The 26,363-nt window shown below is 39.7% G+C and overlaps 2 long non-coding RNA genes across 2 annotated transcripts, besides 1 other annotated feature; one reads left to right on the top strand and one right to left on the bottom strand.

Annotated features, from left to right (window-relative positions):
* Positions 360–1,559: an enhancer, noted in NCBI's record as "BRD4-independent group 4 enhancer chr9:91266744-91267943 (GRCh37/hg19 assembly coordinates)". NCBI's record gives its function as "activates an origin of replication core promoter dependent on BRD2, P300/CBP, MED14 and CDK7 cofactors, and independent of BRD4, by STARR-seq in HCT116 cells {active_cell/tissue: HCT116}" and the evidence as "EXISTENCE:reporter gene assay evidence [ECO:0000049][PMID:35650434]".
* Positions 515–1,539, bottom strand: LOC105376135 (uncharacterized). Its single transcript, XR_930098.2, has 2 exons — positions 1,322–1,539; positions 515–1,199 (listed from the first exon to the last, which is right to left on the bottom strand). It is a non-coding gene; the product is annotated as an uncharacterized LOC105376135 (long non-coding RNA).
* Positions 1,228–26,199, top strand: LINC02843 (long intergenic non-protein coding RNA 2843). Its single transcript, NR_144626.1, has 4 exons — positions 1,228–1,427; positions 5,728–6,467; positions 25,042–25,131; positions 25,986–26,199. It is a non-coding gene; the product is annotated as a long intergenic non-protein coding RNA 2843 (long non-coding RNA).
* Positions 26,200–26,363: the final 164 nt, after the last annotated feature.

Raw genomic sequence — 26,363 nt, 5'->3', positions numbered from 1 at the left:
CTGGCTCCAGGAAATTAAAAATCAATATACTTTGAGAACTAAAATAGGATGGAAAAGTTGCTTTGTCCAGATTGCAATGGCCAGGCAATGCAAAACAAAAGAATTGCTATTATAAAATGAGAATTACAAGAGAGCATTTTTCAGCTTTGTATGAGAAATGCAATTGACCGAGTGAAAAAAATTAACCCTGTTTGTGTTTCATTCAAGTGGCCATCTCTGCAACTTACTGCTAATTTGCCTTCTTTGAATTTACCATTCCTGGTGGCAAAATCATTTGCTCAGAATTGTTCTAGTATTGCCCAGTCATACTTTTCTAATTAAGATTCCTTGCTGAATGTTCTAACTTTGACCTCATTTCAAAGTTACTTTCATTTTAAAGCTTGACTCAAGATCTTCAATTCTTATATCTTAAAAATCTTAAATGTTTTCTGTTTCTGTTATTAACTATACTAGGTTAGGGATATTTAAAATAACAGCTGATAATATGGTTTTTAAAAATTGTGAGAATGATTGCTAATGTCTGGCTCTCACTTTATTAAGAGGACATGGGAGCCTTTGAAAGATGGCTTGCCTGTCTACCTAGGGCTGACCCCCAGGTCCAGATTTGAGAGTCTGGGCTGGCTGACTGCTGGGTGGCTTTGGTAGAAGCTGGCTTGTCTTCTGGTTCCATTTTTCTCTCCACCCCAGTATCTTGGGTTACTCTGGAAAACTATGCGATGCCCATGTGCGCACCCAGTTAAAGGGCATTCGAGTCTTTGCCCGTAGAAATTTCATAAATAGAATATGTAATGAGCCATGCATGTCTTATCGCTAAGGAATCCAGGGGAATCTGAAACTTGGATGACAAAGTCTCTTATGGGTCTTTCCTTCTCACACCACTTGATACAGCACGACTATCTTGAAGTCAGCCAGCGGCCTGCAGAGGCGGTCTTTCCATCTGTTTCAGAAAACCCGGTGGCTTGTGCAACCTGGGAAACTTGCCCACAGCCATCCCACGTGGTGAGTCAGCTCTCTGGCTCCATTATCTACTGTCTCTTCCCAGATGTGACTCCCTGTTTAGGAGCAAGCAAAGTTATGGGGACCCAGGGGAGAAGCAGACACTCACCTAATGCACAATCCTGCTGAGAATTTACCCAAACCCAAGGAGGTGGAGATGGAGTAGAGCTTGAGTCCTTTCCACGACTGTTAACTGAAGATTTCTGTTGTGACATCACATAGAATTTTGACTAGCATTCACCAAGGATGAACTGAAAGCAGGATCTGTCTCACCATACACTGAGAACTGTAGAATATGCAAGGCACATGGAACTTATTTTCTTACGTATAAAAGCGTGTATATGCTCCTTATACATCTGTCCTAATGCTTTCCAACAGTCCTCACTCTAAGCCTCACCAAGACCCAGATGAGGAAACAAAGGCACAGAGGGGTGAGTCACTTGACCAAGTCACAGCACTGGAAAGGAACAGAGTTTCTGTGTTTCCTTCTCCAAGAGAAGCACTCTTGGCTATAGTGCTTCTGATTAACCAGTGATTCCCATACAGTGGTCCCTGGGCCAGCAGCATCAAAATCACCCAGGAACTTGATAGAGGTGAAAAGTCACTGAATAAGACTTACTGAATCAGAAACTCTGGGGAATGTGGCCCAGAAATATTTGTTTGAACAAGCTTGTCAGGTGATTCTCATGCACACTACAGTTTGAGGAATATTGAACTAGGCCTTTGGAATGAGGTTTTTCATTACTGAGTGTTTTAGGGGAATTCTTGGGCAAATATCAGAAGAGATTCACTAGGAGTCATTTCTGGGTACAAGTTAATAAATAGGTTTCCTTTCTGAGGTACTACATGCAATAGTCAGAACTGTAAGAAAGTATATTTATGAACATATCAATAAAAAATGTATTCACTCTGTGAAAATAATATTCCCCTTAGAAAAGCGTTCACATGAACTTGGTGATTGATCTCATAGGGTGCAGTCGGGAGGGGTCAAGAGTCACCCCACATCTTGTATCTCAGGTCAGCCCACTTCTTTCCATCTCTGCTCCCATCCTGGCCCCAACTATGCTCATCTCTCACTCAGAAATCTACAGTGGCTTCCTAACTCGACACCCCTTCTATTCTGAAGCTCATTCAAGCTGTTCTTCACATTGAAGCCAGAGTGATTTTTCTGCAAATCTGAGCTTAAGTAAAGCCCTTAAAGAATTACTATTGTTCACAGGATACAGAACAAAATGCCTAACAAAGCCCCTGAGTCAGTGGGACATGGTCTGCCCATCCCTTTACCCCAAGAGACATAGAATGCAATTCTCCATTTCACTGCTTGCTCCTAGTCACCCCAGCAATCTTTTATTTTCTTAAAAACACATAGCCTTTTATGCCTCAGCTACTTTCACGTTTGTCCCTCTTCTTTAAATGTTTTTCCCCTCATTTCACTGTTTAAGCCATATATACCCTTCAAAATTCAGTTCAAACCTCACTTCAAGAAAACCTTTATGTTTTCACCAGAGAGCTTACAGTGTTTGGCATCCCATCAAATATTATCAGGCATGAAAGGAAGGAAAAAAAGCCCCGTAATGGGCCGGGTGCAGTGTCTCACGCCTGTAATCCCAGCACTTTGGGAGGCCAAGGCGGGTGGATCACGAGGTCAGGAGATCAACACCATCCTGGCTAACATGGTGAAACCCCATCTCAACTAAAAATACAAAAAATTGGCCGGGAGTGGTGGCGGGCACCTGTAGTCGCAGCTACTCGGGAGGCTGAGGCAGGAGAATGGCGTGAACCTGGGAGGCAGAGCTTGCAGTGAGCCGAGATGATGCTGCCGCACTCCAGCCTGGGCGACAGAGAGAGACTCTGTCTCAAAAAAAAAAAAAGAAAAAAAAAAAAAGAAAAAAAAAAAAAAGCCCCGCAATGAAGAGAAAAATCAACAAATTGAAACAGTCCCAGAATGGGCACAGATGTCAGAATTAGCACACAAGGACATTAAAACATTGTTATAACTGTATTCCAGAAGTTCAAAAACTTAACTAGACACATGAAAGATATTTTTTAAAAAACACCCAAATTGATGGGATGTGGTGGCTCACACTTGCAATCCCAGAACTTTGGGAGGCCAAGACAAGAGGATCGCTTTAGCCCAGGAGTTTGAGGCTGCAATGAGCTATGATAGCTCCACTGTACTCCAGCCTGAGGGACACAGTGAGACCCTGTCTCTTAAAAAAGATTTTAAAAAAAGATCCAAACTGAACTTTAAGTGAACTGGAAGACATAACAATAGAAACTATTCAAAATGAAAAAGACAAAAAGAATTTAAAAGAAAAACACAAAATAGCAACACTGAGTGGCAGGACAGTTTTATGTGACATTCATATCTCGTGTGCAAAGGGCTCCTTAAGCATATTTGATCTATGGCTTTATAATTTTATCAAATTTGGAGATTTTTCAGTCATGATTTCTTCAAATATTTTTTCTGCCCTTCCCGCAACCTCTCTCCTTTACAGACTCTAGTTACACACATATTATAAGAAATATTGAAAGAAGTCTTCTAGGCAGAAGGAAAATGAAATGAAAACCAGATGAATATGAATGAACTGTACCAGAAATGATAACTATTAAATACATTGGTAAATATATATACTTTAGAATTTAAATCTTTTGAAAATATAATTGTTTAATCAAGAGTAATACCAATGTACTATGGAGTTCGTAACATACATAAAAGTGAATGTATGACAACAAAACCATAAAGACTATATAGGTGGAAAAGGGCAAATAGAAGTATATTATTTAAGCTTCTTATACTGTCAGTGAACCTGTATAATATGACTTGAAGGTAGACTATATTAAGTTAAATATTTTAAACCCTATAACAACTAGTAAAAGAACAAAACAAGGAGTTACAGCTAAAATCCAACAAAGAAGATAAAATGGAATCATAAAAATTTTCAATTAACTTTTAAAAAGGCAAAAATAGAGGAAAAGGGTAACACAGAATAAACGTTACAAATAGAAAGCAAATAGCAGGAGGAGATACTTAGACCTAACCACAGCAATAATCATATTAAGTATAAACGGTTTAAACACCACAATAAAAAGTCAGAGATTGTCATATTGAATCAAAAAAACAAGACCTAATAAACACAAGAAATTCTCTTTAAATATAAATAGACAAACTGATTAAAATTAAAATGTTCAACAACGATACACTGTGCTAACCCTTCTCAAAAAAAGACTGGATGGCCGGGGGCAGTGCTCACACCTGTAAACCCAGCAATTTGGGAAGCCAAGGCAGGCGGACGACTTGAGGTCAGGTGTTCAAGACCAGACTGGCCAATGTGGTGAAACCCCATCTCTACTAAAAATACAAAAATTAGCCAGGCATGGTGATGAGTGCCTGTAATCCCAGCTACTCAGGAGGCTGAGGCAGGAGAATCACTTGAACCTGGGAGGCAGAGGCTGCAGTGAGCCAAGATGACGCCACTGCACCCCAGCCTGGGTGACAGAGGGAGACTCTGTCTCAAAAAAAAAAAAAGACTGAAGTGGCTATATTAATATCAGACAAAGTTGATTTCAGATTAAAGAATATTTCCAGTGATAAAGAAGGAATTGGAAATGACTTTATACACTCTTGTATTATTTGAAAAAAATCAAATAATACAACGTGTAGCCTATTTGTGCATTTGAACATGTACCTATTTAGTAATTTAAACATTCAACACACTTTTCTTTAGGCTACTCCCTATACCTAGCACTGTTTAGGTATTGAAAAAAAAGGGGGGGGCGGATAAAGAAGTTGGACACAGCCCCAGACCTAGGGGAGCACAATCTGTTAGGGAGACAAGACACTAACTTTTTTTTAAGCTAATAAAAGATGTGTCAGATGTTAATTGAAAAATGGAAGTTCAGAGAAAAGAATATTTCTGGCACCATAGCAATTAGGGAAAGTTTCTAGAAGAGAGCTAAACCCCAAGAGTATGCACAGATAAAGAGAAAGAGGGAGGAAGAAAAGCATTTTATAATAATTGGAAAAATTTTAATTTATGTGGCTGGGTAGGTTTTCACTTTGCTTTTTTCCTCCTACTCGAGCAGAGGGACCATTTTGGTCTCATTGCTTCCAGGCTTTCTGGCTTTTGTGGAGAGTGGTTTGGGTGGATGCAGGGGAGCTGCTCTGGTGAAGGAGCCATGGCTGTGCAGGCCTTCCAGCAACCTACAGAGAAATAGCAAAGCCCTGGCCGCATGGAAGCCTGCCTGTCTTGCCATCCTTGGAAAGACTGGTGTGCCTGAATGCGGGGCATAAAACAACACATGTTTTTACACCCCATCCCAGGACAATGACTAAGACCAAGACCAAGTTATTACCTGTGTATAGAGATGACAAAGATCAACTGGGCACCAACCACCACCTTGAGAGTGGGTCACTACACAAGCCCCACAAATTTCACCCACCTCCACAGTGAGGGGACCCCAAAAGAGATGGAACTACCCTGCTCCACCAGCTCAGGGGAATGAGGCCTGAAGTAGATACTAAGTTGAATTACAGGTGATTTTTTAAAAACCTACACATCTGAGTTTGGGGGCTGAGATTTGTGTTCATAATACATATCAGCAGCTCAATAGTTAGAATCATTTTCTGATAATAAGATGATTACTCTTTCTTCTTTCTTAGGTACATTGAAGGAGGTCAGTTTGGAAAACCACAGTGTAGACACTTATTCTCTCTCCTTTGTGTTTCAGATAAACTCAGAGCAGGAAGACAGCAAGGAATAGCAGTGAAAAGCATGGTGCTTAATCCAACCCCTTACTCACTGCTGAGACCTGGAAATGTGTTCATCAGCTACAAAACAGGAGAGATGATAACTCATTATGTATATGTGATGATAAACAGAGACAATATATTGAAGAGCTTATATGAGTGGCAGACACGGGACATGCTTCCCTGTGGCTGGCCAGCGTGTCATCTTCTCCATGTGTCCAGAGAAAAGCTTTGCAAATCAACCTCTCGATGAATGATGACGGCACCAGTGAAATCAGGGGAGGCAGAAAATCATGTTAGTTTGGTTTATAATGCAAGAAGTTACAGAACACAGAGTGCTCAAAACTAAGAATGTGCTAGTTGTATAACAGGGTCCTTCTTGGGACTCAGCCAGGATTCAAACTATAAAGGAAAATCGGGTGAGCAGGTGGGATAGTCAAGTGATTCTATTTGCATGAATAATTTTGTGAGATGATACCTTCTTGTCCAGGAACATTGAGCAGTGCTCGTGCTGGGTGGATTGTGATGTGGAAACCCTGGGAGATGTCACGTCTGACATCAACTTTCTCCCAGGTGACAGCTGCACCCTCTAAAGGCTTCTCAAATGACAGAGCTCAATGAATATAGAAGGGAAAAGTATGAGGATGACCTATGAGCACAGGGTGGACAGTCTCTGCGGTGGGCAGGCATTAGCAAAGGAGAGACCTTCTGTATTATGCAGGTATGTGCAAGAACCAAAGAAAATAACTGTCATGAGAATTCTGACCTCATTAATACCCACAGACTAGAGACACCAGGAATCTAAGCTTGCAAAAGCATAAGGGAACATAAGGGTTGTGTTCTCTTGCCCTTGGGGCACAGCTTTTCACCACATTTTGTACTAATTTAACCATGATGCAGATCGAAGAGCCCCAGTGATTTCCCAATAAAATGCTCCAGTTGTATAAATTTGCTTGACCTTCAGTAGATGCTCATTCCCTATGGTCCACATCTACTGCAGGCTCACATTCTGGACAGGGAGAATCCTCCGCGTGACTGAAGCAAGAGGTCCCACATGATTTGCTTTTCGCCTGGCATGGAGGCACTGTTTGCCCTGGTGACCAAGGGCACATAGCCCTGTCTTTCCTCTGGCGGCCATTGGATTCATACTCTGTTCTGAGATAACTTTGTATTAATCAAGACCTCCTAACATGTCTCTCTCTCTCTCTCTTTTTTTTTTTTTTTTTTTTTTTGAGACGGAGTCTCGCTCTGTCGCCCAGGCTGAGTGCAGTGGCACAATCGCGGCTCAGGGCAAGCTCCGCCTCCTGGGTTCACCCCATTCTCCTGCCCCAGCCTCCCAAATAGCTAGGACTACAGGCGCCCGCCACCATGCCCGGCTAATTTTTTGTATTTTTAGTGGAGACGGGGTTTCACCGTGTTAGCCAGGATGGTTTCGATCTCCCGACCTCGTGATCCGCCCACCTCGGCCTCCCGAAGTGCTGGGATTACAGGCGTGAGCCACCACGCCCGGCCACATGTCTCTTTTTTGAAAATGACAAGCATGCTGTGATGAGGTTCTCAAGATCTGATCACAGCTTTCTCTCAACAACGCACCAGGATGTAGCGGTGCTCAGCTCTGCCTTCTTCTGTCCTGGCTTGGGTGCTGTGTTGAGACAGACACAGCAGCAAGCGAGCAAACCTCTTGCAGTCCTGTAGCCTTCCCCCTTTTCTTCTTCTCTGTCTGTCCCATCCCCTTCTCTTTTCTTTCCCCTCATCTCCATTCTTTTCTTCCTTTCGTTCCTGTCACTGTTTTCTTCTTTGCTTTTGTTCTGTTTCCAGCTTTCAAAACACATTTATAAAGAGAGCTTCCTCTGAGCCAAAAGTAACAAAACTGTTTCACATTCTTTATCTGGTAGCAGGCTGCTGTCTAAAGGGCATTGTAAACACTTCCCAGACTTTCCCTCAATAAGGGGACTGCCTGATTCTCAGTTACAGAATGTCATTAGCTCTAATGCGTGCTGGTTTCCCTGCTAGAAAATAGCAACTAACATAAATTATAAAATATTAAAATTAATACCAATAAACTGTCTTGTATTTGCAACATGAATGAATTGGGCTATCATCTCATAATTTTCAAGGACACAAAAAGCAAAAATAACATGCCTGATTAAATGATGTTTTCCAATAATTTATTAATTTAAAAGTCACGTAGGCAGGCAGAAAGACTACGTTTCCCAGCCTCCTTTGCAGTTAGGTTGAGACCATGTGACTGAGTTCCGGTTGATGGGAAATAGGTGAAAATTACATACTTCCAGGTGTGGGTTTTTTTGTTTGTTTGTTTGATTTTTGGGGGTTTTTTGGGTTTTGTTTGTTTGTTTTTGACAGAGCCTTGCTCTGTTGCCCAGGCTGGAGGCTGGAGTGTAGTGGCATGATCTCGGCTCACTATAACCTCCACCTCCCGGGTTCAAGCAATTCTCCTGCCTCAACATCCCAAGTAGCTTAGACTGCAGGCACACACCACCATGCCTGGCTAATTTTTGTATTTTTAGTAGAGGCGGGGTTTCACCATGTTGGCCAGCTGCTCTCGAACTCCTGACCTCAGGTGATCTGCCTGCCTCAGCTTCCTAAAGTGCTGGGATTATGGGCATGAGCCACTATGCCCAGCCCAAGGGTGGTCTTTAAAACATCTCTCAAAGGCTTTTTTTACTCCATGCTACAAGATGGAGGAGGATTGCCCAATCCATAGTGCATTGTGTGCCAAACAATATATAATTTTTAATTGTGTTAATATCCTGAGATTTCAGGGTTTGTTGTTTGCAAAACAGTATAACTTATCCTGACTCATACAATGGAAAATTATAATTTAAGCATCTACTAAAGCTAATAAAAGTCTTAGAATAAAACAAAGAAATAAATCTTCATAATCTTGGATTTGGCACTTGATTCCTAGATATGACACCAAAAAGCAACAGCAAAAAATAGATAAATTAGACTTCATCAAAATTAAAAACTTTTGTGCATCAGTGCTTATTATCAGGAAAGTGAAAAGACAACCTACAGACCAGGAGAAAATATGTTCAAATCAGATAATAAGATTTTAATATCTAGATTTCATTTACATTCGTTTTGTTTTTTCTCGCTATTTACTGATTGAAGAAATTGGACCTTTGAGGACCAGCTGGGACTTGGGAATATAGAAAGAGGTCCTTCAACTCAACAACAAAAAGACAAACAACCCAATCAAAGAATTGTCAAAGGACTTGAATAGTCAACACTCCAAAGAAGATATATAAATGGCCAGTAAGCACCTGAAGAGATGCTCAACATCACTAATTATTAGGAAAATGAAAATCAAAACCACAATGAGATATCAATTCATACAGGTTAGGATGACTAAGGGAAAAAAATCACAAATGTTGTCAAGAATGTGAAGAAATCAGAATGCTAGGATATTGTGGGTGGGAATGTAAGATGGTGCAGCACTATGGAAAACAGTTTGGTGGTTCTTCAAAAAGCTAAATGGAATTACCATATGACTCAGCAATTCTACACCTAGGTATACATCCAAAAAATCTGAAAACAAGGACTCAAAGAGATACTTCTACGCCAGTGTTCATTGCAGCACTATTCACGACAGCCGAAAGGGGCAAACAACCCAAGTGCCCGTCAACAGATGAGTGGATAAATGAAGTGTTGTTTATGCCTACAGTGGGATATTTATTACTCAGCCATAAAAAGGAATGAAGCTCTGACACATGCAACAACATGGATGAGGCTTGAAAACATTATGCTAAGTGAAATCAGCCAGACACAAAAGAACAAATACTGTAGATTCCACTTATATGAAATGTCCAGAAAAGGACAATTCCTGAAAACAAAAAGTTAAGTTAAAGGTTGCTAGGGGCTGGGGGAGGAGAAATAGAAAATTATTACTTAATGAGTAGAGTTTCTGTTTGGGATGATGAAACAACCATAAATAAATAGTGGTGATGGTGCACAAGATTATGAAAGTAATTAATGACACTAATTGTATACTTAAAATGGCTTAAATGGTAAATTGTATACAATATTACATATAGAGAGAGAAAGAGAGAGAGAGATTACTGTTCTAAAAAATGGGGGGAAAGTCTATCACTTAAATTTAAATTTGAAGTAGCAGTTTGGATTCATGATGTATTTAATCTTTATATTTTATTTTTCTATTTCCTTGCTCTGTCTACTGAAAAGGCCAAATGACAAAAATCAACACAACAGCAATAAGCATCCTAGCCTAGTACCTAAGTTGTCTCTAACTACCATTTCCTCAGGAAAAAAAAACTAAGAACCCTTAAAGAGAGGTGCATTTCAAGATCTGAGCAGGAAATATATAGGACAATCCTGGAATATCTTGTTATAGAAAGAGAAAAGCCTCTTATGAGGTCCACTGGAACCATGCGAAATGAGTTCAGGAGGCACCTTGTTAATCTCCCATTTACCAAGGATGGTACCATTTGAACATCAGTAAAAATAACTGCAACAATTTGAAGTACATAAAATATGTTTATTCCCATGAGTCCATAATAATACTTTAAAAAAAATTTCTTTGCCACACTTAAAGGATGCTAAGAAGCCAACTCATTATTCTGAAAACTAGAAAATAAAAAAGAATCAAACATTTTAATCCTGCTTTTCCTATACAAATGAGATGTCAAAATAACAAAATGTCTGTGAGGAAACTTTCTCTTTATAGAATTATTCCAGCTTTAAAAATGAAAATGAAAATAAAGAAGAGGAGAAGGAGAACTTGGAGGAGGAGAAGGAGAAGAAGGAGGAGAGGGAGGGGGAGAAGGAGAAGGGGAAGAGGAAGGGGAAGAGGAAGAGGAAGAAGAAGAAGAGGACGAAGAAGAATAAGAAGAGGAGGAGGACAAGGAGAGGAGAAGGAGGAAGAGGAAGAAGAAGATGAAGAAGAAGTATTGATAGGACAGACACAAACAAATGGCTGAATGGTGGCACCATTTCCTGAGGGGGGGCACACTAAGGCAAGAAGCAAGGCAGAGGGAAGGCATGAGTTCTGTTAAGGATTACATTCATCTGCTCCAGTTGTCATAACAAAGGACCACAGATGGGCTGTGGGTGGAGTTGCTGACACAGCAGAAATCTACTGTCTCACAGTCTTGAAGGCTGGATGTCCAAGATCAAGGTGTTGGCAGGGTTGGTTTCTCTAAGGCCTCTCTCCTTGGCTTGCAGATTGCTGTCTTCTCCCTGTATGCTCACATGGTCATCCCTCTGTGTGTGTCTGTGACCTCATCTCCTCTGCCTATAACACATCAGTCAGGTTGGATTAGAGTCCACTGGAAGGATCTCATTTTACCTTAATCACTTCTTTAAAGACCCTGTCTCCAAATACATCACATTCTGAATTACTGAGTGTTAGGACTTCAAAATATGAATTTTTTTGGTTGGGGGGATGCAATTCAGCCACCACAAAGACATGCTTCCTTTAAGATCCAAGTGGAAATGTTTATCAGGCCATTGTACCGTGAAGCCTAGGGCACAGAAGAGAGTACTGTGTTGGGAGTGGACAGAGAGCCTGAGAGGGAAACTGATTGAGAGGTGCAGGTGGCTGTAGGAAACCCCAACCAAGGACAAGCTGGGTTGGGGGTGGTGAGTCAGAACACCCAGATCATGACGCCTGCTCAATGCCATTCTCCAGCAACAGGAAGGAAGGCTCCTCAGAGAAATGCCTGGTCCCAGGTCTGGAGCAGGGAACACAGAAGATGAGCCTGGAGGTCACACCACCCCAGAAATTAAGGAAATGTTAGAAGAGGATGGAGACACAGCAAGAGGACCCAGGAGCCAGCTGAAAAAGGCATCCACTGGTCAAATTTGGAATAATTTGAACTAAATAGTGATAATGAGGGATTGTAACCTATATCATAGACAAGGAATCCATGCACCCACACAGATATGAGCAAATAAATATGGGAGAAGGGCCAGCTCTTCCTCGCAGTGGAATGCCGACTCATATATGCAAAAGGAGTGACAGAATTAGAAAACCACTTGGCACCCACAACTGTAATGACTGTTTTAGGCAAAAATCATCAAAAGATGCTAAAATCAATTGGCAAAAGTGTGATAGGGAGCAGGATATTTGCATAGTCTCAAAGTATCACCTCCCAAGATTCTCATTAATGACAAAGGGGAAAATAGGAACCTGGCAGTGAAGAAACCTGTGACACTGTGTTCACCAAGTAACTGTCACTACCATCACCAGCAATGGGACAAATTGCTACCACGTTCCTCCTGATCTGACACAACACCACTTCTGTTGTATCTCTGCCAAAAATGCATGAACTGTATGCCCACACACACATCACAAACACACATCGCACACGTGCGCACACACACACACACACACGTTCTGCAGAAACATCAGGCAAACCCATTTAGAGGGATATTCAACTAAATAATGAACACCACTCTTCACAAACGTCAAGGCCATGGAAGATTAAAAAAAGACTAAGGGACTATTCCAGATTAGAGGATACCAAGGAGACAGGACAACAAAAAGCAATGTGGGATGCTGGATCAGAAAAATAACATTAGTGGGACACCCAGAAAAATTGGAATAAGGTCTGTAGATTAGATAATAGAACTGTATCGATGTTAATTTCCTGCTTTGATAGTTGCACTATAGTTATAAAAGAGAATACCCTTGGATTTTGTAAATGCACAGTGAAGTGCTCCAATAAGAGAACCAAATGTCTGCAATTTATTCTTAAATACTTAAAAAAAAACTATAAACTATACACATACACAAGTGTGCACACACACACATGCATACACAGTGCTAGGGGTGAGAATCACATACTCAGTAACATTGTACTATTTTTTGCAATTTCTTGTAAGTCCAAAATTATTTCAAAAAGAGAAATTGTTAAAAGGAAAGAAACAACAATAGCAATAACAAAACGGAGTGGGATGTGTAGAAGTACCCAGTGAGCTCCTGTGTTGCTCTGGTTCTCAACCTGAAACAGCTTATCATGTGCAGGCAGCTGTAATGAAACAATTAATTCAAACAAAATTCTTCTTGTCATTAAAGGCAGGCATCTGGTGGACCTTCTTCTTGGATTGTGATTCAAAAGCCCAAACCATTCCTCACTGGTCTGAAAAGTGAGTCAATTGCCAAAGCCTCCCGAGCCTGGATGTGGGAGGGTTCTACTTCTAGAGAGGTGATTTCCTTTCCTTTCAAAGCAGCTGGCTAATGACCACATGCCCCTCTAGGCATGAAGAGAGGGGAGCAACTGGCCAACTAGGAACCATAACACAGTTTCCCATCTCCTCATATCCTTGGTCCCATTCGATCAATCCAAGTAGTTTCCAGCCCTGTGAACATGGCCAGGATAGCCCAGAAACCAAGTTCACTTTTTTGGGCAAAGAGCTGAAAAGAGTTTCTAAAGGTGAATTGCCAGGTCACCTTCCTCCTCCTCTCTCCTCCAGCTGCTTAGAGGAGTAGAAGTTAAAAGCTGGTTAAATAACTAATATAAAAAAAAATTTGGAGAATCACACAGGTTCTCTCACAAGAGGACTTCACATCGCATGGTCCAACTCTGATTTGCTAGATGAAGAAGCCAGAAGCCCATTTAAGCAAAACAGTTTGTTCAAAGTTATGCTGGTCAGGACAGGCCAAGACAAGAGATCGTATCGGGGCCATAGGGCACACAGAGGACACCTGACCCAGATTGGGGACCATTAGAGAAAAGCCTCTGGAGAAAGAAAACAGTGAGGCAGAATCCTAAGGAATTCAACAGAGGCAGCAGACACATTTTCCAAGGAGACGGATTCACAGCCCAGAGCTGGGAGAGCAAGGCAGGGTGTGGGACACAAGCAGCAGCCCCCTGCATGTGGCCTGTGGGCAGATGAACTTGCAAGGAGCCACAGAGTCCACGGCCCAGGAAGGAGTTGGGGTTCGATCCAGAGGGCATGGGGAGCCTTAGAGGAGTTCAAGCCAGAACTTTCATTCTCACATTCTGGTCTGCGATCCAGGCAGGGTATGGCATTGTTGCTTCTCCGTCCCTCTACCTGGGGCTTAGAGTTCTTGATAAGAGCTCTAGACCAAGAGGGAGGTCTGCAGAAGAGAGACTGGGATGAGCTCTGAACCCTGAACTGGTCAGTCTCTCTCACTCCTGGAGTCTTCTGTCCCCGTCTGGTGTGCCCTTCCAATGGCTGGGCCTTGAGTGGCCACTCCTGTGGTGTCAGCTTCCAAATGCTGGTTATTTATCACATACATCACACACACCCTCCATACAGTGCACACATACACACACCTGATAACCAAGATGAGTGACTAAGGCAAAGGTCTCAATCACCAAGGTTTATTAAGCCAGCTTTAGGGTGCATCTGGAAAAAAAAATTAGCCACAGACACATCCCTGGATGTTTTTCCAAAGAGGTTTTCAGGAGACTTAGTATTTATACATTTCCTTAAATTGAGGGATGGCAGACAGAAAGAGGGGCAGGTAGATAGTAAAGCAAATGGTTACATTCCTGTTACACTTTAGTTAGTGCCCAGTTAATCTACATTTCACATAAGAGAAGCTGAATGTTTAAAGGAAAAAAAGGGTGTAAAGGACAAGTTAATTATGCAGCCATCTCTGGGTAGGAGGGAGGAGTCTTTATTCTACACCTGGGAAGATAAGCTTGTAATTGACACTATCAGTATGGAATGAACAGACTTTAGTTTTAGGAGCCAGACTTAGATTGTACACCTAAAATTACAATTGGCATGTCCTTGTTTATGGGAGGCCAGCAAAAAATTTACTCCTGAATGATCTGTGGGGCAGCCCATGGTAGATCCCTGAGGCCTCCTACCTGTCCATGGGGACCTGGCTGGTGCACAATGCTACAGCTATTCATTTGGAAGCTGGTGTTGCATGGCTCAGCCTCCCGGCTCAAGTTTGGGAGTCCTGGTATTTTTTTATTTTCCTTTACATACCATACACACTAGGCACACTATACACACACCACACATACATCACACACACACACACAGACAAACACACATATGTTCTCAGTCACATACTTGCTCTTTGTCTTCCTCTTTCTTACTATGCCTCTTCCCCTCTCCCTACTAGTTTCCTGAGAACTTCGTCTTCATTGCTAAAGGGGGGTGCTTACAGAGGGGTAGACTGAGGTTGCTTCTGCTCCCCTGTCTGGCCCCTCTTTCCTGACCAACTCCTGCTCTCTGAGCCCAGCACCATTTTGAGGCTGAGTGCCCAGTGCTGCCATGCTGCCAGCCAAGAGCTGGGGTGGGCAAGGGTCTCGCCTTCTCCTGGCTGAGAATGAATATGCCCAACATCCCAAACCTGCCCTCACCCTGTGCCCTTTACCAACACATAGGGACTCAAAGCCACTTTGTCTCTGGGCACCTTACTCCTACCTGCAGGGAGATTTTCATAAGCTGATGACCGTGGAGCAATACTGGAGTCACTCCCAGCCCAAATCACCACACAGAGATGCAAGCCAGCTCCTTCTCTCACACAAGGGAAATTTCAACTCATTGAGACACTCAAAATGGATACCCTGGGCTTATCAAAACTTTGATGCATACTCAATTTTGTTTAAAAGTCATACGTACAGATATGCATGCATGTATATACTGTATACATAGATAGGGTTTGGAAAAGTTATTGGAAGAACATAGACTAAAACATGTTTGAACAGTAGTAGGTATACAAGTGATTTTTTAATGCCCTGTTTTATTCAATTTTGGTACAATAAATATGCAACAGTTTTAGAATCAGAAAAGACATGAAATAAAAATTGCCCATCAGACTAGAACAAGTAGAAGAAAGAATTTTAGGGCTTGAAAACAAGGCTTTAGGATTAACCCAACCAGAAAAGACAAAGAAAAAAAGAATCAAAATAAATAAAGTCATCAGGAAATATGGAATTTTGTAAAACAGCCAACTCTAAGAATAATTGGTGTTCCTGAGGGAGAAAAGAAGTCTAAAAGTTTGGAGAACTTGTTTGAGGGAATAATTGAGGAAAACTTCCCTGGTCTTAGATACTTCCTTGGTCTTAGAGATCTAGATATCCAAATACACGAAGCTTAAAGAACTCCTGGGAAATGCATTGCAAAAAGATCATCACCAAGGCACATAGTCATCAGGTTATCTAAAGTCAACATGAAGGAAATAATTTTAAAAGCTGTGAGACAAAAGCATCAGGTAACCTATAAGGGAAAACCTATCAGTCTAATGGCAGATTTCTCAGCAGAAGCCTTACAAGCCAGAAGAGACCCAGGACATATCTTTAGCCTTCTTAAACAAAATGATTGTCAGCCAAGAATTGTGTATTCAACAAAACTAAGCTTCATAAATGAGGGAGAGATGAATTCTTTTTCAGACAAACAAATGCTGGGGGAATTCGCCACTAACAAACCAATACTACAAGAAATGCTGAAAGGAGTTCTAAACCTTGAAACAAAGCTCAATGTGAACTAAGATAGAACCTCCTTAAAGCATAAATTTCAAAGGGCCTATAAGACAAAAACACAATGAACAAACAAAGTATTTAGGCAACAACTAACAAGATAAATAGAACAGTACCTTATATCTCAGTATTAAAGTTGAATGTAAGTGGCCTAAATGTCCCGCTTAAAAGATACAGAATGGCACAATGGACAAAAAAAAATCACCAACCAAATATCTGCTGACTTCAAGAGACTCACCTAACACACAAGCATTCCTATAAACTTAAGATAAAAGGGTGGAAAAAGATATTTCATGCAAATGTAAACTAAAAGCAAGCAAGAGTAGCTATTCTCATATCAGACTAAGTAGACTTTAAAGCAACAACAATAAAAAAAGAAAAGAAAGACAAAGAAGGGCATTATATAATGATAAAAGGATTAGTCCAACAGGAAGATATTACAATCCTAAATTTGTATGCATTCAACACAGGTGCTCCCAGATTTACAAGGCAATTACTACTAGACCTAAGAAGTAAGATAGACAGCAACACAATAATAGTGGGGGACCTCGATACTCCACTGATAGCACTAGACAGATCATCAAGACAGAGGGCCAATAAAGAAACAATGGACTTAAACTATACCCTAGAACAAATGGACTTAACAGATATTTACAGAACATTCTACCAAACAACTGCAGAATATACATTCTTCTAATCAGCACATGAAACATTCTCCAAGATAGACCATATGATAGACCACAAAACAAGTCTCAATAAATTTAAGAAAGTAGAAATCATATAAAGTATCTTCTCAGACCACAGTAGAATAAAACTGGAAATCAACTCCAAAGGGAACCCTCAAAACTATGCAAATACATGGAAATTAAATAATCTGCTCTTGAGTAATTTTTCAGCTAACAATGAAATCAAGATGGAAATGTAAAAATTATTTGAAATAAATGATAATAGTGACACAACTTACCAAAACCTATGGGATACAGCAAAAGTGGTGCTAAGAAAAAAGTTTATAGCTTTCAATGCCGACATCAAAACATCTGAAAGAGCACAAATAGACAATCTAAGGTTATACAATAAGGAACTACAGAAACAAGAACAAACTAAACCCAAACCCAGGAGAAAAAAAGAAATAACAAAGATAAGAGCAGAACTAAATGAAATTGAAAGAAAACAACAACAACAAAAACAAAAACAACACAATGGCTGGGTGCAGTAGTTCACGCCTGTAATCTCAGCACTTTGGGAAGCCAAAGCAGTCAGATCACTTGAGGTCAGGAGTTTGAGAAGAGCTTGGCCAGCATGGTGAAACTCATCTCCAAAAGAATATAAAATAATATTGTATTTTTTTGTAAAAATACAAAAATTATCCAGGCATGGTGGTGCACACCTGTCATCTCAGCTACTTGGGAGGCTGACAGGAGAATCACTTGAACCAGGGAGGCAGAGGTTGCAGTGAGTCGAGGTCATGCCACTGCACTCCAGCCTGTGTGACAGATGGAGACTCTGTCTCACAAAAAGAAAAAAATACAAAAGAGAAATGAAACGAAAAGCTGTTTCTTTATAAAGATAAACAAAATTGATAGACCTTTAGCAGGATTAACCAAGAAAAGAAGAGAAAAGAGTCAAATAAGCTCAATTAGAAAGAAACTGGAGATATTACAACCAATACCACAGAAATACAAAAGATGATTCAAAGGTACTATGAACAGCTTTATGCACACACACTACAAAATCTAGAGAAAATGGATAAATTCCTGGAAATATGCAAACCTCCTAGATTAAGTCAGGAATACATATAAATGCTGAACAGACCAATAACCAGCAGCAATATTGAATCAGTAATTTTTTAAATGCCAACAAAAAAGTTCAGGACCAGATGGATTCACAGCTGAATTCTGTCAGACATTCAAAGAATAATTGGTACAAATTCTACTGAAACTATTCCAAAAGATAAAGAGAATCTTCCCTAAATCATTTTATGAAGCCAGTATCACTCCAATACCAAAACCAGGAAAAAAATAACAAAAAAAGAAAACTACAGACCAATATCCCCAATGAATATAGATGTAAAAATCATCAACAAAATACTAGCTAACTGAATCCAACACCATATCAAACAGATAATACATCATGATCAAGTGGGTTTCATACCAGAGATGCAGGGATGGTTTAACATACACAAGTCAATAAATGTGATACATCACATAAACAGAAATTTTTTTAAAAAACCATATGATCATCTCAATATGCAGAGAAAGCATTTGATGAAATCCAGTAACTCTTTATGATTAAAAAAAAAATCTTAACAAAATAGACATAGAAGGGACTTACCTCAAAGTAATAAAAGCCATACAAGACAAACCCACAGCCAACATTATACTGAATAGGGAAAAGTTGAAAGCATTCCCCCTGAGAACAAGAGCAAGACAAGAATGCCCACTTTCACCACTTATATTCAACATAATACTGGAAGTCCTAGCCAGAGCAATTAGACAAGAGAAAGACAAGACAATCAAACAAGAAAATCAGACAAGAGAAACTATTGCTGCTTGTTGATTATATGATTGTATACCTAGAAAACCCTAAAGACTCACCCTGAAAGTTCTTTAGATTTGATAAATGAATTCAATAAAGTCTCAAGATACAAAATCAATGTACACAAATCAGTAGCACTGCTATACACCAACAATGACCATGCTGAGAGTCAAATCAAGAACTCAATCCCTTTTACAACAGCTGCCAAAAAAAAAAGAGTAAAATATGTAGAAATATACTTAACCAAGAAGGTGAAAGATCTCTACAAGGAAAACTACAAAACATTGATGAAATAAATCATAGAGGACCCAAATGGAAACACATCCCATGCTCATGGATGGGAAGAATCAATATTGTGAAAATGACCATACTGCCAAAAGCAATCTACACATTCAATGCAATTCCCATAAAATGCCATTGTCATTCTTCATAGAACTAGAAAACAATACTAAAATTCATACATGAACAAGAAAAGAACCTGCATAACCAAAGCAATACTAAGCAAAAGGAAAAAATCTGGAGGCATCACATTACCCAATGTCAAATTATACTACAAAGCTATAGTTACCTAAACAGCATGGTACTGGTATAAAAATAGGCATGTCAGCCAATGGAACAAAATAGAGAACCTATAAATAAAGCCAAATACTTAGAGCTAGCTGATCTTCAACAAGCATATAAAAACATAAATTGGGGAAAACATACCCTATTCAACAAACGGTGCTGGGAAAACTGGCAAGCCACATGTAGAAGAATGAAACTGAATCCCATCTCTCACCTTACACAAAAATCAACTCAAGATGGATCAAAAACTTAAATCTAAACCTGAAATTATAAAAATTCTAGAAGATAACATTGGAAAAATTCTTTTAGACATTGGCTTAGGCAAATAATTCATGACTAAGACCCCAAAAGCAAATACAACAAAATCAAAAATAAATAGTTGGAACCTAATTAGACTTAAAAGCTTTAGCACAGCAAAGGAAATAATCAACAGAGTAAACAGACAACCCACAGGGTGGGATAAAATATTCACTAACTATGCATCCAACAAAGGATTAATATCCAGAATCTACAAGGAACTCAAACCAGTAAGGAAAAAGCAAACCCATTAAAAAATGGGCAAAGGACATGAATAGACGATTCTCAAAAGAAGATATACAAACCGCCAACAAACATATGAAAAAGTGCTCAACCAGGAAGAAATTGATAGCCAGAAGAGACCAATAATGAGCTCTGAAATTAAATCAGCAATAAATAGCCTACCAACAACAACAAAAAAAAACACCAGGACCTAATGAATTCATAGCCAAACTCTACCAGATGTACAAAGAAGAGCTGGTACCATTCCTACGGAAACTATTCCAAAAAATTGAGGAGGAGAAACTTCTCCCCAACTCATTCTATGAGGCCAGGATCATCTTGATACCAAAACCTGGCAGAGACACACACAAAAAGGAAAACTTCGGGCCAATATCCTTGATGAACATTGATGCAAAAGGTCTCAACAAAATGCTTGCAAACTGAATCCAGTAGCATATCAAAAAGTTAATCCAGGCTAAGCGCAGTAGCTCAGTCTCTACTAAAAACACAAAAACAAAATTAGCCAGGCATGGTGGCGGGCACCTGTAGTCCCAGTTACTCGGGAGGCTGAGGCAGGAGAATGGCATGAACCCGGGAGGCAGAGCTCTCAGTGAGCAGAGATCACGCCACTGCACTCCAGCCTGAGCAACAAAGCGAGACTCCATCTCAAAAAAAAAAAAGAAATTAGCTGGACGTGGTCAGGGGTACCTCTAATCCCAGCTACTCAGGAGGCTGAGGCAGGAGAATTGCTTGAACCCAGGAGGTGGAGGTTGCAGTGAGCCGAGATCATGCCACTGCACTCCAGCCTGGGTGACAGAGCGAGACTCTATCTCAAAAAAAAAAAAAAAAAAAAAGGTAATCCACCATGATCAAGTAGGCTCCATCCCCAGGATGAGAAGTTGGTTCAACATACTCAAATCAATGAATGTGATTAATCACATAAACAGAACTAAAGACAAAAACCACATGATTATCTCAATAGATGCAGAAGAAAAGGCTTTTGACAAAATTCAACACCCCTTCCTGTTAAAAACACTCGATAAACTAAGTATTGAAGGAAGATACCCCAAAATGGTAAGAGCCATCTATTACAAACCCACAGCCAACATTATATTGAATGGGCAAAAGCTGGAAGAATTCCCCTTGAAAAGTGGCACAAGACAAGGATTTCCTTGCCCTCTCTCACCACTTCTATTCAAAATAGTATTGGAAGTCCTAGCCAGAGCAATCAGGCAAGGGAAAGAAATCAAGGGCATAAAATAGGAAGAGAGGAAGTCAAACTACCTCTGTTTGCAAACGACATGATTTTATACCTAGAAAACCCCATAGTTTCAGCTCCAAAAGTACCTCCAGCTGATAAACAACCTCAGCAAAGTTGCAGGATACATAATCAATATAAAAATCACCAGCATTCCTATACACCAACAACAGCCAAATCAGAAAAGCCATCCCATTCACAACTGCCACAAAAAGAATAAAATACTTAGGAATACAGCTAACCAGGGAGGTGAAAGATCCTCTGCAAAGAGAATTACAAAACATTACTCAAAGAAATCAGAGAAGATACAAACAAATGGAAAAAAATTCCGTGCTCATGGATAGGAAGAATCAGTATCATTAAAATGGCTATACTGTCCAAAGCAAATTATAGATTCAATGCTATTCCTATAAAACTACCAATTACATTCTTCACAGAACAGGAAAAAAACTATTTTTAAATTCACATGAAACCAAAAAAGAGCCCAAATAGTCAATGCAATCCTAAGCAAGAGGAACAAAGCTAGAGGCATCACATCACCTGACTTCAAACTATATTACAAGGCTACAGTAACCAGAATAGCATAGTACTGGTGAAAATGCAGGCACATAAACCAAAGGAACAGAATAGAGAGCTCAAAAATAAGGTCGCATATGTACGACCATCTGATCTTTGACAAAAATGACAAAAGCAAGCAATGGGGAAAAGACTCCCCATTCAATAAATGGTGCTGGGATAACTGGCTAGCCATATGCAGAAGATTGATACTGGACCCTGACATCATATACAAAAATTAACTCAACATGGATTAAAGACTTAAATGTAAAACCCAAAACCATAAAAACCCTGGAAGACAACCTAGGCAATACCATCCTGGACACAGGAAAATTGACAAATGGTATCTAATTAAACTTAAGCGCTCCTGAACAGCAAAAAAAATTATCAACAGAGTAAACAGACAACTTACAGAATGGGAGAAAATATTTGCAAACTAAGCATCTGACAAAGTCTAATATCCAGCATCTATAAGGAACTTAAACAAATTTATGAGAGAAAAACAACCCCATTAAAAAGTGGGCAAAGGACATGAACAGATGCTTCTCAAAAGAAGACATACATGCAGCCAACAAGCATATTTAAAAAGCTCAGCATAACTGATCATTAGAGAAATGCAAATCAAAACCACAACGATATACCATCTCACACCAGTCTGAATGGCTACGATTAAAAAGTCAAAAAATAACACAGGCTGGTGAGGTTGCAGAGAAAGGAACACTTACACACTGTCAGTGAAAGTGTAAATTAGTTCAACCATTGCGGAAGGCATTATGGCAATTCCTCAAAGAGCTAAAAGCAGAACTACAATTCGACCTGGCAATCCCATTACTGAGTATATACCCAGAGGAATATAAATCCTTCTACCATAAAGACACATGTACACAAATGTTCATTGCAGCACTATTCACAATAGCAAAGACATGGAATCAACCTAAATGTCCATCAATGACAGATTGGTTACAGAAAATGTGGTACATATACAACATGGAATACTACGCAGCCATAAAAAAGAATGAGACTATGTCTTTTGTGGGAACGTGGATGGAGCTGGAGGCTATTATCCTTAGCAAACTAATGCAGAAACAGAAAACTAAATACTGTATATTCTCACTTACAAGTGGGAGCTAAATGATAAGAACTTATGTACACAAAGAAGGAAATAACAGACACTGGGTTATACTTGAAGAGGGAGCATGAGAGGAGGGAGAGGAGCAGAAATATAACATTGGGTGCTTGGCTTAATACCTGGATGAGGAAATAATATGTACAAAAACCCCGGTGACACATGTTTACCTATGTAGCAAACCTTCACATGTACCCCCAAACCTAAAATAAAAGTTTAAAAAATAATAATAAATTGTAAAATAGTCATAAAATAAAAAACCGAAAGAAGAGCATAACTACTGCTATTTGCAACAGCTTGAATGAATGTCGTGAACATATTAAGTAAAAATACTCGACAATAAATAAAAAAGAAAAAGTGCTTGACACCACTAATCATCTGGGAAATGATTATTTAAACCACCTTACTCCTGCAATAATTGCCATAAGTAAAAAGTCAAAAATGTGGTGAAAAGGGAACACTTTTACACTACTGCTGGAGATGTAAGTTAATACAACCACTCTGGAAAACAGTATGGAGATTACTTAAAGAAATAAAAGTAGAGCTACCATTCCATCCAGAAATCCCACTACTGGGTATCTACCCAGAGGAAAAGAAGTCATTATATGAAAAAGACACTTGCACACGCATGGTTATAGCAACAAAATTTGCAATTGCAAAGATATGGAACCAACCTAAGTGCCCATCGACAAACAAGTAGATGAAGAAAATGTGGTATATACATAGCAAGGAATACTTCTCAGCCATACAAAGGAATGAAATAATGTCTTTTGCAGCAACTTAGATGGAGCTGGAGGCCATTATTCTAAGTGAAGTAACTCAAGAATGGAAAACCAAACATCAAATTTCCTGCTTATAAGTGGGAGCTAAGCTATGAGGACCCAAAGACACAAGAATGATATAATGGACTTTGAGGACTCAGCGGGGAAGGCTGGAAGGGGGTAAGGGGTAAAAGACTATATACTGGGTACAGTGTACACTGCTCAGGTGACAGGTGCCCTAAAATCTCAGAAATCACCACCAAATAACATATCCTTGTAACCAAGAACCACCTGTACCCCAAAAACTATTGAAATAAAATTGTTTTTAATGGCTCATCATTTTAATTTAATTTAAAAGAAAATCATGTTGCATTTTTAAAGTTTATTTTCAGGAAAACATTGACCATGACTTTATCTTCATTCCATGAAGGTTCAATGAGAGGGTAATGATTATAAAAATAGTGGCTATGTCCAAACAATATCTGGATGATTGGTATCACGAGCTGGTACTTTTCCAAAATATTTCTGAAAACTGGGCTAAGGCCCACGGCTTGATGAAAACAAAAAAATGTTGATCTTTTAGGGACTTTAATTCCAAATAAGGGCTTTGATTTATAATAAGGATATTGCAAAAATTTATATTATCTTGAACAGCAGTTAGCTTCTCAATGAATATGTTCATATTTTCTAGGAGAAAAGAGTTTTGCCTTATAATCAACTTTAAAACAAATACTTCTTGAAAGAAACCTGCAAAAATATTTTGAGTCACATGAAAACCTCAATAATAAACAGGCAAATGGTACAATAATGTGGTTTACATTCTCCTGGTAAACATGCTAGGGATGGGCCAAGGGCACTGAAAATGTGTAAATATTCACAATGAGCTCATTCCTCCCACCAAGAATTCTTGGACCACTGTCTACAACTTCAGGAAATGCATGGAAACTGATTCCTGAGGCTGGCAAAACTGCTTCTAAGGTCAACCTCTTCAGAGTCCATACACATAACTCCAGAGCATCTTCCTTAGCAGCAAATGGGCTCTGGGGTCTGCAGACAGATGCTTGCACCAGTGACATTCTGTTTCTTCTTTCTTCCTGTCCCTGTTCTTTCTCTAGCCCTCTCTCTTTCCAATTCTTTTGTCTCTTACTATTAGTATCTTCAGAGACAAAATATTGCCATGATATTCTTGCAATGATAGGGACAAATACCTGCACTAGTCAAATAATGGAGCCATTAGCATATTGCTTGGACTTATATTATCCAGATCATTGCCTCGGGAATTCACTTGCAGACAGCCATAGGCTTTACAGCTCAGAGGTTTAGAGCCACAACTTCCAAGTTGTAGTTTTTTCCCCAGTGCTTCACCAAAATTAGAGAACAATGCATTTTTCTCCAGTAAAGTGGTTCTCAAAGTATGGTCCAGGGACTCTGGGGGTCTCCAAGATCCTTTCAAGAGATTCATGAAGTCAAAACTATTTTCATGATAACACTAAGACATTATTTGTCTCATCCTCTTATGAGTCTAGAGTGGAATTTTCCAGAGGCTACATGATGAGTGACGTCACGACAGATTGAGTACAGAGCCAACTATGAGAATCCAGCTGCCTTCTATTAAGGTAGGCATTAAAAATATTTTAAAAATGTAAAACAATGCCATTCTTCTCCCTAAATAGCCTTTATTTTGGAAAATGTAGTTATTTTTATGAAAATATTTTATTTATATTAACATGTAATGGTTTGTTATTATTTTTAAATAAATTAATGTTAATTTTTAGATTTATTTGTTTTAATTTCTAAAAGGATATATATCAATAGCTATGATCCACATAAACAAAAGCCATTTGGGATCCTCAATTATTTTTAAGAATGTCAAAGAGGCATGACACCAGAAAAATTGATTACTGCTTTTCTAGTACAATTTAAAACAAACAATTTCATTAAATGGGCTTATTTTATTTTGGCCTTGTCTGATAGAATCTCTTTGGGGCTAGATGTGGCAGCTTTGTAAGGTGTCCAGTTGGCCAGGCTGAACCACATTCCCACTGTTGCCTTTCTCGTGTGTTTCTGGCCAGAGGGAGCCAAAGAAAGGCTCTAGTGCAGTATTTGAAGCAGAGACATGAAGCAGCCACCATCTTGTAACTCACCTTATAATATCTGCTTCCAAGAAATAGCCACTTCAAGGCATTCACATGCCCTTGGCATTCACTCCTCATCTGCGGATGCACCTCCTTGGTGTGAGGAACAGCCAGGCCTCCTGCTGCTCCACCTTCCCCCCAATCCTCCTTCAGCTTCTCTGACTGCTGGGCCAGCTGTGTGTGATGAAAGACCTGGCTTCTCCAGGACATGCAGACCATCAAGGGCAGAGAGAACACAAGAAAGAGTCTGAGTTTCTATCTGTTCTCCCGGGCTCCAGCTGATGCATTTCAGCTCCTTCTTGCTCTCCCCATTTCATATTCATCTTATTTTCCAGGTACCCTTTCTGTGGATACCTTCAAGTTCCAGCACCAAATATGAAGGCGACTGCCATCACCAGCTCCCACCCCTACATGAGGTCAAATCCCTGGATGGCATATAACACACTAGAGCAATTAAGAGGATCTAACTAAAGGTGGGGAAGGAAAAATGTGTGTACAGAGACAGGAAGTCATGGACACAGTTATATTGAAAGATACAATGACCTCCTCCTCCTCCTCATTGTGATATTATCACGCCTTTCCACACTTGGGCTTCTGAGATTGTTACACTGGAAGTCTGCCCTAACTACAGGGTCACATGTAGAACTGCGTCCACAAAGAGGCAGATTGATTGTGGGATGGTTTCTTTTTTTTTTTTTTTTAATTTATTTTTT

Source organism: Homo sapiens, chromosome 9 (assembly GCF_000001405.40).
Source record: "Homo sapiens chromosome 9, GRCh38.p14 Primary Assembly".
In the NCBI taxonomy this organism is placed as follows: Eukaryota; Metazoa; Chordata; class Mammalia; order Primates; family Hominidae; genus Homo; species Homo sapiens.
This window is presented reverse-complemented; position numbering and strand designations above follow the sequence as displayed.